The 18,382-nt window shown below is 57.9% G+C and overlaps 1 protein-coding gene and 1 long non-coding RNA gene across 2 annotated transcripts in view, besides 4 other annotated features; one reads left to right on the forward strand and one right to left on the reverse strand.

Moving 5' to 3' along the window:
- GALNT9 (polypeptide N-acetylgalactosaminyltransferase 9) overlaps positions 1 to 18,382 on the reverse strand; it is a 133,218-nt gene that overhangs the window by 68,546 nt on the left and 46,290 nt on the right. The gene's annotated exons all lie outside the window — the stretch shown is intronic.
- Positions 8,065 to 8,959: an enhancer, noted in NCBI's record as "H3K27ac-H3K4me1 hESC enhancer chr12:132849568-132850462 (GRCh37/hg19 assembly coordinates)". NCBI's record gives its function as "activates a minimal SCP1, AML or CMV promoter by ChIP-STARR-seq in naive H9 embryonic stem cells {active_cell/tissue: H9 hESC(naive)}" and the evidence as "EXISTENCE:reporter gene assay evidence [ECO:0000049][PMID:30033119]".
- Positions 8,960 to 9,852: an enhancer, noted in NCBI's record as "H3K27ac-H3K4me1 hESC enhancer chr12:132850463-132851355 (GRCh37/hg19 assembly coordinates)". NCBI's record gives its function as "activates a minimal SCP1, AML or CMV promoter by ChIP-STARR-seq in naive H9 embryonic stem cells {active_cell/tissue: H9 hESC(naive)}" and the evidence as "EXISTENCE:reporter gene assay evidence [ECO:0000049][PMID:30033119]".
- On the forward strand, positions 10,474 to 15,983 carry GALNT9-AS1 (GALNT9 antisense RNA 1). Its single transcript, NR_024563.1, has 4 exons — positions 10,474 to 10,919; positions 11,314 to 11,613; positions 12,340 to 12,989; positions 13,503 to 15,983. It is a non-coding gene; the product is annotated as a GALNT9 antisense RNA 1 (long non-coding RNA).
- Positions 10,662 to 11,438: an enhancer, noted in NCBI's record as "H3K4me1 hESC enhancer chr12:132852165-132852941 (GRCh37/hg19 assembly coordinates)". NCBI's record gives its function as "activates a minimal SCP1, AML or CMV promoter by ChIP-STARR-seq in primed H9 embryonic stem cells {active_cell/tissue: H9 hESC(primed)}" and the evidence as "EXISTENCE:reporter gene assay evidence [ECO:0000049][PMID:30033119]".
- Positions 13,348 to 13,998: an enhancer, noted in NCBI's record as "H3K4me1 hESC enhancer chr12:132854851-132855501 (GRCh37/hg19 assembly coordinates)". NCBI's record gives its function as "activates a minimal SCP1, AML or CMV promoter by ChIP-STARR-seq in naive H9 embryonic stem cells {active_cell/tissue: H9 hESC(naive)}" and the evidence as "EXISTENCE:reporter gene assay evidence [ECO:0000049][PMID:30033119]".

An 18,382-nucleotide genomic window follows, 5' to 3' on the forward strand; every position in this document is an offset into this window, starting at 1 on the left:
GCCATTGGGAGCCTCAGTCTCCGGCACAATGAGGATCCCAACCGCGTCCGCCTCGCAGGTCGTACGAGGGAGATCCTGCCAGGTCGTTTCCACACGCGCGGAGTTGAAGCGTTTTTATTTAACTCCCTGTCGCCCACCTGCTGGCAAATGGAAGACAATGAAGACCAGGATGACTCTTCCAAATCTCGCTTTTCTGCAAGGCTCAACCCAGCCCCAAGAAAAAGATAAAGGAGCGCAAAGATTTTCCAACAAGTCCCAAATGCCCATCAATGAGGAAGGCAAGTCGCTCACCCCGAAGTTCAGCCCCCAGCCTTGTCCTCCTGCGCTCCTGCTGGGGATGAGGGAGAGGCCACGGGGAGAAAATGACGGCTGGACCGGTCCTCCCCGTGGAAGCCTTTCCTTCCGTGGTGGGCTGAACGGTGTCCTCCTCCCGCGACCCAAGACACAGTGTCAGCAGGACATGGGCCTCTGTCTCCGATCTCGGAAACACATCTTCTGGCCCGGGTTTAATCTCAGAAGGGCCTGTCCTCATGTGACTTATTGCAACTAGGATCTTTGCAGATGTAATTGAGTTAGGGATCCTGAGATGAGCTTGAGGCAGGATCGGTAGGATGAGGAGGCCACACTGACGTCCTTGTTCCCTGTGTGAAGCCCCCGGGCCCCTTTTGCAGCAGGCTTCGCAAGGTAAGCAGCCCCACAGGACACCAGCCGACAGCCGGATGCTTACAAGTTCCTGATGCCCGGTACAGGCCCGGGAAAGACAATGAAGATACCTTATTCCTGATGTAGCTTCCCCAATCTCCAGCCAGTCAGCACCCAAAGCCCACCAAGCTCTTAGCCACACATTCCTGCCTCGGAGGGGCCAGGGGCTTCTCCAGGACACTGTACACACAGTTACACTCCAAGTTCAGCTCATTTTAATAGTAAGAGACACACCCCCAGGTGAGGATTCTATATGTAATGATACATGCAGTGTGTGTTGGAGCATGTAGGTACTGAGCATGTGTGCCAACCACAGGCCTGTCTGCCTTTACACGCCCGACCTCGCCGTATTTCATGAACAGGCACGCACAGCCAACCGCGGGCCTGTCTGCCTTTACACGCCCGACCTCGCCGTATTTCATCAACAGGCACGCACAGCCAACCGCGGGCCTGTCTGCCTTTACACGCCCGATCTCGCCGTATTTCATGAACAGGCACGCACAGCCAACCGCGGGCCTGTCTGCCTTTACACGCCTGACCTCGCCGTATTTCATGAACAGGCATGCACAGCCAACCGCGGGCCTGTCTGCCTTTACACGCCTGACCTCACCATATTTCATGAATGTGCATGCACAGCTCCCGAGAAAGGACTCCCCTCGAGCTAAGGGGCTGCTTCTCCCTCCGAGCAGCGCCTTTGCTTTGTGACAAACTTCTTTGCCTACTTGAGCTTTGGACTTGCTCTCAAATTCTTTTGTGCTGCAAAGTCAAGAACCTGACCCAGCCACCCACTGATAAAGAGATCATCCTGGATTTAGGGCAGGTCCTAAATCCAACGACGGTGTCCTTAAAGAGAGGGCAGAGGAAATGCAACACGGAGGCCCAGGCAGGAGGCCATGTGGAGGTGGAGGCCGAGACTCGAATGGCACGGCCACGAGCCCAGGGAAGCCTGGAGCCCCAGAAGCTGGGAGAGGCAGGAGGGATCCTCCCTGAAGCCTCTGGAGGGGCACAGCTCTGGCCACTCTGTGATCTTGGGGTCTGCCCTCCAGAACGGGGGACAGTGCATTCACATTGTTGGAAGCCACCTGCTTGTGGCTCCTTGTTACAGTGTCCACAGGAGATGTTTTGTCTTCTGCTCTCGGACTTGGGGCCTGGACCTCCCCTCCTGCAAGGTGGCTCTGCCAGCACAGCGTTGGCTGCTCTCGGCATTGCTGCGTGGGCCACCACCGAGTCGGGCAATGGGGATATGAGGGGGGTCCTGAGCCTCTGTCATTATTTCCTGCTGTCCCTAAACAGGCTCAGGGTCTCCCTTGGCTGGGGGCAGAGACTCAGGTGAGCATCCTGGCGTCTCTGAGAATAAAACGTCACAGACGCAGCCTCCACTCAGCGAGCGAAAGGGGCAGCCCGAGGTGTGATCCGCGTCTGGATGTGCGGTTGAGCTCTCTCCCCGAGGAGCAGTGAGGAGGTGGCATGTGGGCGCAGAGAGGGATGGAAGTGGGAAAAGCCGGCTTGTCTCACAAAAAAGAAGACACCTGAGCCCAGAGCTTGAGCAGCCGAGAGGAGGGCTGGGGAATGAGGGCAGGGAAGGAGGCAGGCAGGGGAACCAGGGCGGGGAAGGAGGCAGGCAGGGCCACATGGCGCCAGCTTGTGGCAGGGGTGGATGGGGTGGGCTCCAAAGCAGGGGCCACTGGAGCAGGCCACACTGGGAGGCATGTGACCAAACTCCCAGCCACTCGCTCCAGCACACAGGCTGGCCCATGGCAAAAACAGCAGACAGGAGGATGGGAGGTGAGCAGCCGGGGGTCCTTGGTGAGGCTAAGACGCATTCTCCCGTGCACACGGAGAACCCACACCGTCGCCCAGCACCCCAGAGGGCTTCACGGTAGAACCTGAGCAGCTGATTCTGAAATTCATGTGGAAATGCAAAGGACCTTGGAGAGCCAAAGCAATCTTGAAAAAGAACCAAGCGGGAGGACTCACACCACCTCAAGTTAAGACTGATTTTAGTACCACAGCCATTGGCAGGGCAACACTGGTGTGAAGCTAGACAAAGAGAAAGATGCATTGAAATAGATAAAGGAGTAAAGTGAAGAAATAATACTGCTTCGGAAAATGGGGAAATACACAAGCACACACACTCACACACACATGCACTCACACACACGCACACACACGCACTCACACGCACTCACACACGCACTCACACATGCAGTCACACACATGCATACAACCCACATGCACACACACACGCATACAACCCACATGCACTCACACGCACACACGCACACAAATCCACATGCACTCACACACATGCACACACACACGCACTCACATACAGTCACACACATGCACACAAACCCACATGAACTCACACACATGCACACACACAGGCAGATACACACGAACACACATGAACACACATGCACACAAACCCACATGTGGTCACACGCACTCACGCAGTCACATGCACACAAACCCACACGCGCACTCACACACACAAACCCACACACACACTCACGCTCACACACACGCAATCTCACACAAGCACACTCTCAAACCCATACATGTACTCACACACATGCACTCACACCCATACACACATTCACACACACTCATACCCACACATACACTCACACATGGACACCCACCCCTACACACGCACGCACACACTGAAACACACACGTATGCTCTCACACACACACCTTGGCAAGCAACAAACACTTCTTATTCTGGATAAATGAATTTTGATCTGTACCTTCCACCACATACAAAAATTAACCCAGAACGGATCATTGACCTAAATGTAAACCCTAAAACCATCAAGTCCCTGGAAGGGAATAGAGGAGAAAGTCTTTGTGACCTTGGCTTAAGCAAAGATTTCTTCACTATGGCAACAAAAGCATGATCCAAAACAAAACAAAATGGATAAATTGGACTTTATCAAAATAAAAAACCATCTGTTCTTTGAAAGACACTCAGGTGTAGAAAGCCAAGCCACAGCCGACTGGAGAAAATACTTTCAAAGCACGCATCTGATAAAGGACTTGTATCCAGAAGTAAGACAAAAGTAAGAAAACAAAATGTCCAATGAAAACTGGGGAAAAGACCAGAACAGACACGTCACCACCGAAGACGCCCAAGCAGCCATCAAGCACGTGCGCAGGTGCCCCCCTCGGCGGCCATCAGGGAGCTGCCACTCGGAGCCACACGGGGGCCGCTGTCTGGCTACCGGAAAGGCTGACGTGCAGCCGACGTACAAAAGCGGCGCCGGTGAGGGTCGCGGAGGGGCCGGAACGCCCACGTGTGGCGGGTGGGGACGGGAGGTGGCGCAGCTGCTTGGAAAACAATCTGGCCATTTGTTGAAACATAAAACGTGTGGATATCTGAGCCTGGAGTTCAAGCCAGGGCTAGAGCTAGACATCCAGGACTGTTTGCCTCCATTAGACAGGACTGAAAGACACAGAGGGAGGAGGCCAAGGCCTGAGCCCTGGAACCCCAACCTCGGAGCTCCGCAAAGGCACAGAGGGTGGGCTGTGCAGCCAGGGAGGACCCAGGGCGGCCTCAGCGCTGAGGCAGGGGGAGGCGTCGGGAGGCAGCGTCACCTGCCCGACTGCGGCCAAGGAAGATGCTGGCCGAGAATTTGCTCTGGGCTTGGTGATGGGAGGACTCGTCGAGTGTGATTTCCACGCGTGGCGGGTCCCATGCCCCCCGCGGGAGAAGAGCAAGCAGAGCCAGTGGCTGCGAGCTTTTCCGAGGAGCGGGACCGCCAGGCGGAGCAGAGGAAGGGGCAGGAGGTCAGCAGCGTCCTCCGGGCGGGAGCCACGGAGTCCCATTTGCGTCTGGTGCTGCTGGAAAAAGCAAGAGAAGGTGGAGGGGCGTCAGGGAGGAGCCCGTGCCGGTCCCGAGCCCAGGGCGGGGTGGCCTTTTCCTGGGGCAGGTGCTGCTCCGAGCAGGAGGGTGGGGCATAGGAAGCTGGGCCCATGGTCAGACATGGTTTCAGCTCAAATACCAGAAGTGACCGTGAAGAAAGCAGGAATTTGGCTCCATGGATTCGGGGCCGAGGGCGGAATCGTGAAATAGACGCCGCTGGGAACGCGTACCTGGGGCAGGTCTCAGACGCGTGGGGCCGGATCCCGGTGGGGTGGCACGTGGCGCCTGCTGGGACCCTGTCCTGGCCGCTCACTTTCCCGTGTCTAACCAGCTATGCAGGCCTGGCCTTTGCCTGCAGCACACACAGGCGAGGGAGATGGGCGCACGGGATCAGCCAGTTTCCCAGATAACTTAGGCCCAGCCTGTTCTACAAACAGCTTTGAGGCCTGAACAGCACAGACGGACCCTCTCACTGAGGGCACCCCCAGGTGACTTCGGTCTCCAGCTCTGTCTCAGGAGCCACGCTCTGGAAGAAACTCTTCAAAGAAAACTGCTCCTGAGACTGCTCTTGTTTAGTTATTCCAACAAGAACAAGTCCCATTTAGGGCCGAGAAATGAAACAGGGTCACACCTATTATAGGATATAGTGCTGAACAGACATCTTTTGTAAAACAGTCCATTGACTGTGGCCAAGACAGTTGTAAACTATGGAATCAATAACCACTGAGCTTGGCAACAGTGAGCACCTCTGATCCTGGGTGTGAGAAACAGAAGTTGTCACAGAGGCCCCGTGTCTCCCTGAAATAGCCCCGTGTCTCCCTGAAATACGATCACCAGGAACCTCCTCCAGAAGGCAAAGGCCGGCACAGAATCCTGCAGGCTTCACAGAGCCCTGCCCAGGGGCAAACCAGAGAGCTGGGGCCTGGAGTACCCAGCAGGTGATGCCACCTCTGTGCCCTGCCAGGTGCCACCTGGAGATAAAACCCCAGGGACAGGAGCCCCTGAGAACAGCTGGCTTCACGCGTTAGCTCTTGCGTACATAATGGTTCTGAGTCTACGACTGTAATCAATAGGAACTCAATTTGACTTCAATTGACTTCAATTCTTTCTTTAAGAAGAAATGGATTGGATGTGTCTGAGGTCCCAGGTGGAGCTGTCGGCCGTCATCTCCCGGCCAGAGCCCGACCACACAGCCACAGCCATGGCCACAGCCACAGCCACGGACACGGCCACGGCCACAGCCACAGCCACGACACCCTGCAAGGGATGCCAGGAAATGTGGTCTTCACTCTGGCTGGAGCCCAGATACATTTCAGAATTCTATCAGGGAGGAAGAGCGGGAGAAAAGATAAGAGGCAGATGACGGTCAGTCATTGCCACACACAGGGAGGAAGGGGAGTGGGAGAGGAGACAGGAGGCAGAGATTCAGAGAGAGCAAGGAGGAGATGGAGCAGAGAGACAGCGAGGGGGAGAAAGGAGGGAAGGAGGAGACAGGGGCAGAGAGAACGAGACAACAGCAGCACAGTCCTTAAAAATCAAGCAGAGGGGAGAGCAGGTGCCTCAGCTGCCGCCGTCCGCTGCTTCTCCATGACAGACGCTGCGCCCGTCACTCTGTGCCAGTCCCCCATGCGCCCTTCAGTGCCGTGTGTGTTACTGCGGCAGCAGTGGCCATGTGGGGCCACACGTTCTCAGCAGGGCGGTCACACGTGAACAGCCTGTGTGTGTCTCTGAGCCTTGGGGACACGTTTGCCAGCCGACGAAACTCCAGTCACCCGTCACTGCCAGGGCTCGAGGGTGGGGGGAGGAGGAGACAGGAGAGAGGAGAACGCTGCCACGCCCCGCCCGGCTCCCACCCGTCACTCTGCCTCCGCCGCTCCCACCCGCACACCTGTACATCTGCCTTCTTGTGTGTTTCTTCCAGGTTTCTTTATCCCATTTTGAACCAATTTTATCACACCATAAAATTAAGAGATTGTCCTCTTTAAAACAATGAAGCCAGGACAGATCCACCAAGCCTCCCTCCGACGCCCACCCTCAGGCCCCGCCCCTGTCCCCCGAGGTGACGCCGACGTGGGTGTGACAAGTGTCCCTCCAGGTCTGCCCACAAAACACTGGCCTGGCGCTGTGCCCTGCTTTTTAGACACAAACGGCGTTGGGGCAGCTGTGGCCTCGTGCCTTGCCGTGATGCTCCGGCATGGGGTCTGTAAATGGACCCTGCCGAAGGCTGTTTCAGGTTCAGGCTTGGCCGAGGTCCCAAGTCAACAGGGCCAGCGACGGCCAGGGCCCCAAGGCGAGCAGAGCCCCGCACAGAACGTGCAGGGAGGCTCCCACGCGTGGGAGGCCGTGGCTGCCAGGAGGGCCCGTCCCCCGTGCGCCCTTCAGTGCTGTGTGTGTTACTGCGGCAGCAGCCATGTGGGGCCACACGTGTTCTCAGCAGGGCGGCCACACGTGAACTGTGTGTGTCTCTGACCCTTGGGGACACGTTTGCCAACTGACCAAACTCCAGTCACCAGCCACTGCCAGGGCCAGAGGCTGCGCTCGAGGGCGGGGGGAGGAGGAGACAGGAGAGAGGAGAATGCCGTCACGCCCCGCCCGGCTCCCCCAACTCAGAGCAGCCCCAGAGCGGTCGGGGGACGCACCGTGGGGACAGATGCACGGCGGGGACCCCTCTGTGGGCCACGCCTGCTCATCACGGGACCCAGGCTTCTGTTACGAGCGAGCAGAACCCTGTGGGCCTGGCCCAGGTCTCACAACGACCCAGGGAAGCACCCCCTCAACGGGACAGAGTGGGCAATGGTGCGGGGCGGGACAGGGTCAGGGCAGGTGCTCCTTGGCATTCTGACGGTGGCTCCACACAGGCCCTCCACGATGCCCCTGCAGCAAACTTGTGCAGAAGAAAATATCACAGCGCCACCACCCTACTGCCGGGCGCTTAAATTAGTTCCCGGCTTCCCGTGACACCCAGCAGCTGTGGAAGTGCCTGGGCAGGTTGCTTGCACATTCTTTCTGGACTTTTCTGTGTTTTCCGCAGGAGAATGCTCTTACTTCATGCCATTAATGTGCACCTAACACCTGACACTCATCACAAACCTTTGTAGACAAACTGCTGTTTAAATTGGAAATAATGGAACACATACACCTCATTTTTCACCCAGCACTAGTTAGCATAAAATAATTTCTTTTACCCATAATACAGTACCCTTCTCAATTAACAAACTGTCTTTAATTTTTAAAGGGATATTTATCAAACATACATCAAATATGACGATGAATGAAGCAATACAAAGCCTGTGCCCAACGCTCAGTCTAGGAAAGTGGGTGATCACCCCGGCGTCCACCCTCCCTCCACTTCGCAGGCTGCCGTCTCTGGACCTCGTGTGCCTTCCCCGTGGCTCTGCGCCACGCCTTCCCATCCCCAGCCACACCCGGCTCACCTTTGAGCTCGACGCCATGGCCACTGTCTCCCGCACACGGGCCTTAGGGCCCCACTCCTCCTCCTGACATTGAGTTCCTGAGATTCCACCTGAGTGGCTGTGAGCACTGTGGTCATTCTCGCTGCCAGGCTGTGTCTGTTCTATGAAATCACAGTTCCACTCTGCTGGTGGGGGCAGCAGTGGCTTCCGGACTCTCCTTCTTTCTTTCTTCTTTATTTTTGAGACAGAGTCCTACTCTGTTGCCCAGGCCGGAGTGCAGTGGCACAATCTCGGCTCACTGCAACCGCCACCTCCCGGGTTCAAGCAATTCTCCTGCCTCACCCTCCCGAGTAGCTGAGATTACAGGTGGGTGCCACCATGCCCGGCTAATTTTTGTATTTTCAGTAGAGACGGGGTTTCACCATGTTGGCCAGGCTGGTCTCGTGTGATGCGCCCGCCTCGGCCTGGGGTTCCTGTTCTTGCTCAGGGCCGCTGCTGCTGGCTGCCTCCTGGTTTCCAGCTGTGCCCGAATCAGCTCGCCCCACTTCAATGGTGGCAAGGTGCCCTTCCTGGGGGCGGGCAGCCCAGGACCCACAGCCGGGACCCTGTAGGCTCCAGCAGCTCTGTGTGAGCAGCCCTGGCCCCTGGCCCTGTGCTGGAGGCAGCGTCCTCCCCACTCCGATGTCACAGAGGAAACAAATGCAAACCGTTCAGCAGTGGCCCCCGAATAACTCAGCCTGAGTGGAACCCGAGGGTTCTTTGCAGGACTTAAGTGGCGCCGTTTCTGTCAGACAGAAAATAAACTAAGTTTATGGTATTTGGAAAGCATCAGAGTTCAGCAAGATCACGGCACCCAGGACCACTTGAGAGCTGCAGTGATTGAGGGCTGGGCAGAGGCGACGCAGCTGGGGACAGGCCAGGAATGTCGGCCCCATCCAGGGAGCACAGGGCGCCCCTCCCAGGGCCTTGGAGGAAATTCAACCCTGTCAAGCTTGGAGGCCTTCGGCGCATTTAGCCGTTGAAGGAAGTACCCACCGTGGTGTGCTCCAACCAGCATTTTCACATTCACAGTGAGGCCAGCTCGCTCCTGCTCCCACCAGCCCATCGCAGGTCAGAGAAAAGCCAGACGCCCTGCTCCACATCTCTCTCATACTTCTCCGCTCTTCACAACAGGCAGCCTGGCCAGCCCCTTCTCACCTCCCTGGGCACTGCGGCTGCACCCCCAGGCCTGGCAAGGTCACGGTGACCTCCACACCAGCCCATGCAATTCCAGGCTTCCCATTGCCCCTGAGAAGGTCAAAGCCCCGGGTTGCTCAGCCAGGCCGCTCCCTCCACCATCCCCTCTTGGTTCCCTTTGGCTCACTCACCTGCGCCCGGCCCCTGGCTCTGTGGCCTGCGCTCCAGGCCTGCTCCTGCCCCAGGGCCTTTGCGCTCCCCACCCCCACCTGGATGGCCACACACGCCCTCACCCTTCAAGAGGCTCACCCCGTGCTCAACGTAAAATCCCACCAGAGCCCCGGCCTCCAGCCTGCTGCTCTGCCTCTCCCACCCCCACCCCCGGCTTGCTCTTTGCACCCCTGCCCTGCTCTCCTGCTGGCTGGGGCTCCTGGGGCAGGGGTTCTGGGTGTGGGTTTGCTGTTTCACCGCCTCATCTCGGGACCCAGAACTGTAGACGCACACAGGGCTCCATGTGTGGCCTTTATGGAGCTTGAATTCATTGCACTCAGCAGAGGGGAAGGCAGGTGATGAGCGGGCGTCGTCCAAAGCCTCAGAGCTGTGGGTGAGTCTCCAAATGGTTTTGTTTGAACGTAACATTAAAAGTCTAAGTTGTGGCTTGGGCTGAATTAGAAGCTACAGCACCACACACACATGCACACATAAGCAGACACCACACACACGCACACATGAACATATGCCACACACAAGAACATACCCCACACACACGCACACATGCACAGACACTACACATCTATGAACATACCACGTGCACACAGGATACACCACACACACGCACACACGTGCACACTCCCCCCGTGGGCTCCTGGCAGCAGGGGCTGTTCCCATCACTCTGGTGCTTGCCCCTGCTGGGGAACCGTCCAGTTGTCACCAACTCACTTCTAAGCCATGTATCAGGGCTTCCCAGCCTCAGCTCCAGACTGCACGCTCAGCTTCTCCATGTCCAGCCCGGCATGCAGGGCATGACGTGTGACAGGGCTCAGCCCCTCCATGTCCCTTCTTTCCCCCGTGTCTAGGCTGTCCTTGCCAGGCAGTGGACTTTCGCTCTTGCCCTGCTCAGCCGCTTCCCTCCTCCTTCCCATAAAACATGGGGCTCAGCCCGGCAGGAACTCCCTAAGTAGCTGGGTGGAGTTCCAGCCCTGGATGAAGGGGAGGGCACAGGACCAGGCTGAGCCAATCAGCATGGCAATAGGCTCAGGGAGAGACACACGGCCCAATCAGAGCCAGGAGAGGTTGGCTGGGCTCCGGGAGACAGGACGTGAGGCTGGAGTGGCTGCAGCCTCTTGCAGACAGTGGAGGCTCAGGCTAAGCCAGCAAGACCAAGAGGAGCACGGAGAGCTGGCAAGACGCTGGCCCGATGATATCGCCTGAGCCGTGAATCCTCCTGGCCAACGCCAGGGCTTCCTCAGGCTTTGTCATTGCAGGGACACTTCCCTCCCTCCCTCCTTCTCTGTCTCTCTCCCCACTGCCTCTCTTTCTAGCTTAAGCCAATTTGAGATGGATTTTCTGTCACTTGCTGTTGAAGGAGTCCTGGTCCAGCCCAGGTGGATTTCGTGCAAATGAAACCCACATAATGCAAGTCTGTGTGGAAGTGATCGTCTGCGATCGGCGCGTGCCCTTCGCCTTATGAACAGGAGCCATGGGTGACACGAGCGCCTCGGCTGGGCCGCCGGGGTCCGTCTGAGGTCCATCTGTCTCCAGGTGTGTGCTGGGTCTGTGGGTGAGATGCTGCGTGTGCATGTGTGTGTGCCCAGGTGTGTGTGTGGGAGCTGGATCCCAGGCCACCCGCACAGTGGGAGAAGGGGGAGCTGGATCCCAGGCCTGAGAAGGCTCTTTCTGCTTAGAGAGTCCAGGGCTGCCTGGCATCGAGCCGGCTCTGCCCCGCAGGTCCCAGTGAATCCACATTGCAGCAGGAAGCCACAGGGCAGGAACCTCAGCTTTCCGGTTGGCTTCCATGAACCAAGGACAAGCTTGCTTAAAGTTGTGCCCGGAGAGGCCGGGAGAGCTGCTTCAAAGGCAAAGACCACCCAGTGGGAGTGCATTCCCCTGGTGCTCACCCAAGGGTCCCACTCCCCCTGAGACATTTCCTTCCCAGGGCACAGACCCCAGGCCTGGACAGAGCCGGGCACGTGTGAAACGGGAAGATGTCAGCTGGGGAACCGGCCGCAGCTCCCAACCTTGATGAGGAAAGAAACCTGGTAGCTGTTCCTGCAGAAAAGCCACATGGCTCGCCGCCTATCTCCACGATGGTACCTGGCTTCTCCCATCCTCACCGTCCACGTCTACTCCCTTCCCATCCCAGACCCGAGACGCAGAAGGCTTTAGACAGAGCAGCTTCATCAGGAATCTGGACTGGGCTGAGGTACCTGCTCCCAGCTCCTCAAAGTGCCATCCGGTAAATCTGCATCTATTAGAGCTGACAGCCAGGCTGCTCAGGCTTAAACAATTAATATGCATGAGGAGTCCGCAAACACAGAGCAGGGGCATGTTACTGTGCTGGGATGTAGGACGGCTTCTCGGATAAGGTCATTCATTTTTATGATTCTGCTTAATTTGGATTTGCCAGTCTTCCTTTCATTATCCCATGGGCCAGTCTTAATAATCAAGACTATGTTATGTGCTTTGTGGCATAATTAAAGCCACTGCCTAATTAGACAAGCATCTACCGTCTGACAAAGAGAAATCAGTAATGCAGCTAATGGAGAAAGTGGTGAGGAGTTGGGTTTGAAAGTGGATGGAATCACCTGTTGGTGCCAGAACACACACACACATGCACACATGTCCACACATGCACACACATCTGTGGACACACACACACATGTACATACATCTCACACACACAGATACATGCACACATGTACACACGCAGATACATGCGCATGTACAGGCATGCACACATACACACACACACACACTCTCCTACATTCTATGTGTGTTTCCGATGACCAGCCCTGTCAAACCAAACCAATCAGCAGTGCAGTTTCTGCCGGGATAGTTGGCCTCTGAGGGGTTAAAGCCATGCAGGGAATCCAAGTCTGAGTTTCAAGTGGGCCGGGCTGAGCTTGCTTTTGTTTACTTCTTTAATCATCCATGGACGCTTGCTGGGGCCTGCAATGGCCAGGCACATCCACCCACGTGGGACAAGATGCAGCTTCCGTGGCTGCTTGCAGGGGATGGAAGACTCCCACAGACGCCTGCTAACATCACATGCCCAAGTGTCACCGCGATGCCACGTCCAGTCTGAGCCATTCCTCGCCCATGTCCCTGTCCTTGTTGCATAGCCGGCCTCCAGCGTGTGGCTTCGTGCAGCGACCAGACCGTCGTGTGACTTTCTGCCACGGTTGCTGGGGTTGGCACTGGGGCAGACCTGCTGGGGGGTTCTGGGTTGCAGCTGGAGCGCTGGGACTGGCAGGACGCCTCTCTTCGTGCTGCCCCAGGGCCCATCCACGTCGACTCCCGGCGTGAAGCGTGTGGGCTGCCTCACAGCCTGGCAGCTCCAGGACTGCTGGGGGCTCCCCCCGCGGCCCCGGCTCTGCTGGCAGCACTGGGCCAGAAGCAACTCACCTTCACACAGCCGCCCTGAAGGCACGTAGGTTCCGGAAGGGAACCTTGGGAAATGGGATTCGTGCCATACTCATGGGAGTCCCAAGCTCCCTCGCCCATTTCACTCCATGAGGATAGGAGGGGACAGCTGCTGACGACCTGGCAGAGACCCTGCGCCAGGCCCCACCCCACCGGCACCCTGATCTTGCACTTCCGGCCTCGAGAATGGTGAGAAACTCCTCGTGTTGTTTATAAGCCACCCGGTCAGTGGCCCTCTGACCAGGGCCAGCAGCTCTGAGGCCCTCCCCCCGCCCCGGCCCCCTCCCCCTCACTCCCACACCCACCCTCTCTGGTTTTTCTAAACTCCTCCTCCCCATTCTAACCCCTCTCTCTGGCCCCTGCGGGCTCTGGGGAAGCCCCGGGGACAGTAGGCAGGGGCCAGGCTGCTGGGCTCCCCGAGGCCCCCGGGGGCTGGGAGTGGGTTAAAGCCGTCCAGGGCTTCGCTAGGGAGGGGCTCCAGCAAGACCCTGTTTAAACCTCCTTCCCACCACAGCGTGGGCGCCACGTCGCACTCTCTGGGTATGTCTCAAGGTGTGGATAATGCAGACTTCTGAGTTTAAAAAAATACCAAAAATAAAATAATCAGGCATCAAACATACAAGTTATTTGAGGACTTAAAAACAGCACAGCAGGCTGGAACAGGAGGCCCCTAACCCGATGGTGTCATCTCTACATCCACAGCCCCCGCCCGGGAGGGTCTGAGCCAGGCAGCCTCCCCGGGAGCCGGTGCTGACACGGCCAGAGAAACCATTCCAGACCCGGACCCCACTGTCCCCAACACCTGCGGGCCAGTGACTCAGGGCGGTGGAGAGAGCCAAGAGGAAGTGGAGGCTGAGTGGCCCTCCCCGGGGCTGGGGCCCGCCGTCTGGTTGTGTCTCCAGCCGCTGGTTTAGGGGAATCGGGAGGGCTCACTTAAGCATCCCTTCCCTGCGTGCTCTTCCATCGCGGGACAGAAGACCCGACTGCTGCCAGCACCAAAGGGTGTTCCCACGGCACACGCCGCTTGGGCTCGGGCAGGCAGGGACCCCTCCTCGTGCCTCGGGAGCCTGGAGCTGTCGGCCCTGCAGCTGAGGACCACAGGAGGTCAGGGACATGCAAGCTCAGTGCCCGAAGTCACTTCTAGAGTGCGATTCGGTGTCCCTGAAGGTCCCAACTCTGCCCTGACACATTACAGAAAATGTCGCTGCCCCCTGGTGTGGATGCTGGCCCGCCCCCGGGGAGGCTTCTGCCCCATCACCCAGCCCAGCCCATCCCATCCCAACAGGACTCAGCCTCCAGTGGCTACCATCAGACCCCACGGCATGGTGACTGTCACTGCAGAGGGCTAGAGAGGGCCGCGTGTGGGACGGCAGGGGCCGACGGGGGGCTCTGCATTCCCCAGTAACCCAGGTTTCTGCTGGGGCTGCTCCCCAGCTGCTCTGCTCCCCAGCTCCCTACAACGCGGATTTATTCTTATTTCCCACAGGGAAGGCCTAACAAGGCTTGACCAATCAGTGAAGGGCATTCCCCAGACTGCTGGCTGTGACTGGGTCCCAGATAAGCACGTGACCCACTATGGGCCAATGAAAGTCGCCTGAGACTTTTGCTTGCATGGTTGCTGGGACGGTCCAAAGTCCTCAGTGGGGACGGCTGGCTGCAGCTGTCAGACTTGGAGCGTGAGGACAGAGCTGGGCCGGTTCCTCCCTGGGATCTCCCCTCCCCGAGCACAGGCTCTGCTCTGCCCAGCCCCATGCTGTCCCCTGTGCGACCGCTGTGGGCTTCCTGCCAGGCTCCTGCACCCTCCGGCTTCTGTTGGGTTCAGTTCTGGGAGGCAGCCCCGGAGTCTGGAGGGTGGAAGGAGTGAGGGGCATCCCCTGTCCCCTCCCCACAGTCTTGGCAGTGGTTTCTTCTCTCCAGAGTTACTGTCCCTACCCCCTGTCCTCTCTCTGCAGCTCCAGCTCTTGCTGGGCGCCTGTGATTCTCACCCCTGTCCCTTCAGGCCGTGGGGAGAAGAACATCCCAGTGCGGTCACTTCCTGGATCCAATTCCTGGATGCCCAGTGTCCGCCGGGTCTCCTGGATTCACCGTGGTCACTGCCTGGATGCCCAGTGTCCACTGGGTCTCCTGGATCCAATTCCTGGATGCCCAGTGTCCGCCAGGTCTCCTGGATTCACTGTGGTCCCTGCCTGGATGCCCAGTGTCCTCCAGGTCTCCTGGATTCACTTCCTGAATGCCCAGTGTCTGCTAGGTCTCCTGGATCCACTTCCTGGATGCCCAGTGTCTGCCAAATCTCCTGAATTCACTTCCTGGATGCCCAGTGTCCACCAGGTCTCCTGGATTCTGCCTGTGTCCACGTGAGGGCACCATCAATTTCCTGCAAGGATCCTGACAGTCAAGGTACATCTAACCTGAGAGCAGGCAGGGGCTGGACTATCCCCTAGATCAAGCCATGCCTGAAGCCCCACCTTTCAGTTGCCTGAGTCAACAGATTCCCTTTTTGGGTTGAGCCATTTCTAATTGGATTTTATGTCTTACTGACTGAACTATCAGGATGGCCAGCAGTAAGGGGTTTCGTTTTGGAGGATGAGGGACACAAATGTCTCTTCTCCAAGGTGAGGAGATGCCTGAAGGACAGGAGACACTCACAGGAGGCCCTGGAGACAGATGTGCCTCACAGGCATTCCTGAGGACCTGTGGCCTGGCAGCACAGAGACTGGGTGAAAACAGAACCTTGTGATCTGCAAGTTCTGCCGCTGCCCTGTCTGTGTCTGTGAAGCAAAGTGTCCAGAAGGGGCCCGCGTGGAAGCTTCTGAGAGCGGTTAGGGGAACGGGGCCCCACGTCCTCCCCGGAGGGCTGGAGACAGAGGCAGGCCGTGCCCCCAGCCCAGAGTAGGGAGGAGGCTGGCAGGCGGCAGCTGTGGAAAGGAGGCGGAGCCCCCAGACTCCTGAGCCAGCAGAGGAAGGAGTGGGACAGAGCCCACCCCAGAGGGAGACAAGACCCCGGGGAAGAGACCCCTCAGGGTGGCCCCCCAGCCCCTCCCAGGCTCAGCTTTCAGCCTGCACCCCCGTCTGGTCCCTCAGAATGACTGAGGTTTCCACTCTTTTTCTGCCAAATCTCTAGACTCCACGTCCCCGCTCTGCCACCTACTCTCTGTGGGATCTGAATAAAGAGACTTAACCTTTCCTGCCTCAGTTTCCCCATATGTAAAATGGGACAATAAGAGGCTCTGCCTCTAAGCCTTGCTGCAGGGATTAAGGGAGCGATGCGTGGTCTGCAGCCAGCCCCCTGCAGCCAGGCCCCTGCAGCCAGCCCCCTGCAGCCAGCCGCCTGCAGCCAGTGGTTCTTCAGTGGCCCCAGGGAAAGGCCAGGCACTGTGGAGACGCTTCCCAGCCACACTCGCTGAGCCGCGCCGGGATAGGGTCTCTCCACCCAAGCTCCTTTTAGGAAAGTGGTTCCTGGGAAGATGGATAAGACCCAGCGTCCACCGGGGTCTGCGTTCTAAGTGGTACGCTTGTGAGGGCTGTTGCACGTGAACAATTCCCTGTGATACATTCCGCAGGCACCGGGGAAGCTCCAGGCTGGGCGTGGAGCCTCAGAGACTGTGGGCAGGGCTCGTGAGGGGCAGGCGAGGGGCCAGGAGGCCTCCTTCGCATTCGAGCTTCTCAGCCACGTGTGCAGGGGTGGGCTGGGTGTGGGAGTGTGTGTGTCACTGGTGTCAAAGCCTCCTCACTTTTTTTGGGAAAGAAATGGGATATAAATACATGTGTAAATATCTATATAAAATTCACATTCTCTAATTCAGGAGGCAGAGAGCTGTGTGCCTTCAAACCAGAGTATCTATAAACTGGGTTTCTATCAGTGAGGGTATAGAGCAAATGCCGGCTCTGTCAAGGTTCATCCCGATGTCGTTCTCTGTGACGTAAAAACAAAGCTGGGACTGGCCACTTCTGCCAGACTTTATCTTGGCAGACAGGTTTCCTACAGCAGCGGCCACCTACACCTGGGGGGAGGCAGCAGGATGCTGAACCCTCAAAAGGAGAGCAAGAGCCCCCACTGTGCAGCAAGCCCAGGCCTGGGGGTCCCCGATCCCACAGAGGAGGAATCAGCTCCACTACAGCAAGCCCAGGCCTGGGGGTCCCACATCCCACAGAGGAGGAATCAGCTCCACTACAGCAAGGCCAGGCCTGGGGGTCCCCGATCCCACAGAGGAGGAATCAGCTCCACTACAGCAAGCCCAGGCCTGGGGTCCCACATCCCACAGAGGAGGAATCAGCTCCACTGCAGCAAGGCCAGGCCTGGGGGTCCCCGATCCCACAGAGGAGGAATCAGCTCCACTGCAGCAAGCCCAGGCCTGGGGGTCCCTGATCCCACAGAGGAGGAATCAGCTCCACTACAGCAAGGCCAGGCCTGGGGGTCCCCGATCCCACAGAGGAGGAATCAGCTCCACTACAGCAAGCCCAGGCCTGGGGGTCCCTGATCCCACAGAAGAGGAATCAGCTCCACTGCAGCAAGGCCAGGCCTGGGGTCCCACATCCCACAGAGGGGGAATCAGCTCCACTACAGCAAGGCCAGGCCTGGGGTCCCACATCCCACAGAGGGGGAATCCAATGGGACCCCTGCAGCTCTAAGAACAGAAAACCCAATTCAGATGTGCTTAAAGAAAAAACTAAAAATACGTGTGTGCGCGTGTGTGCGTGTGTGTGCGTGTGTGCGTGCATGCGTGTGTGTGCGTGTGCATGTGTGTGTGCACGCATGTGGTAATTTATTGCAAAGTCAAGTGGGTCTGTTTTGGGAACAGCTGGATCTAGGTGTTCAGACACTGGCCCCTTCTTGGGTTTCGTGAGGGACCCTGGAAGCTCCAAGCTCTCCCCTCTTGATGATAAGGTTGCTGCAGCTCCCCCAGCTCCCAGCCTTGGTTTCATCTTGTGGGAAAAGGCTGCCTGTTTTTTTCTCGATGGCCCGCTGGTAATTCCAGAATTCACTCTGACTGGACTGGCTTAAACCACCTGACCAGCCCTGAGCCAACCCCTAGGTCTGGGGTGACCTTCACGCTCTGACTGGTTTAGACCTGGGCGGCGGGATCTGCAGCTGGGCTGAAATGGATCAGAGCGGGGGGTGTGGACTTCCATCTGGAGCCGGGACAGGACCTCAGGAGGCAAATGACGACCGTCTGTGACACGCAGGCCCACGTCTGTGCTAGAAAAGCCACCCCTTGATATGGGGCGAGGATGGGACCCGAGAGACCCTCGCCCCACCCTGCACTGGCTCAGCAGCCGGGTCCAGACTCCCAGGCCTCTGGAAAACGAACCTCGGGGGGACGCAGAGGGTCACACAGGGCTTCACCCCCAGCTCGGGTTCAGTCCTGACTCAGAGACGACCCGGCCCCCACGACTGGACCCCACAACGCACAGGGCCCCCGCCGGCCAACAAGACCAAGGTCACGCACAGCGGTGCTGGGATCCTCCAGAGGACTCCACAGGGGACCGAGGGCCTGCAGGGATTCGAAAACCAGTGCCGGACGCAGCCTTCCTCCCTTACAGCAAGAGCTAGGAGATAAAACAGGCAGGCCGGGAGAGCAGGG

This window comes from Homo sapiens, chromosome 12, assembly GCF_000001405.40.
Source record: "Homo sapiens chromosome 12, GRCh38.p14 Primary Assembly".
In the NCBI taxonomy this organism is placed as follows: domain Eukaryota; kingdom Metazoa; phylum Chordata; class Mammalia; order Primates; family Hominidae; genus Homo; species Homo sapiens.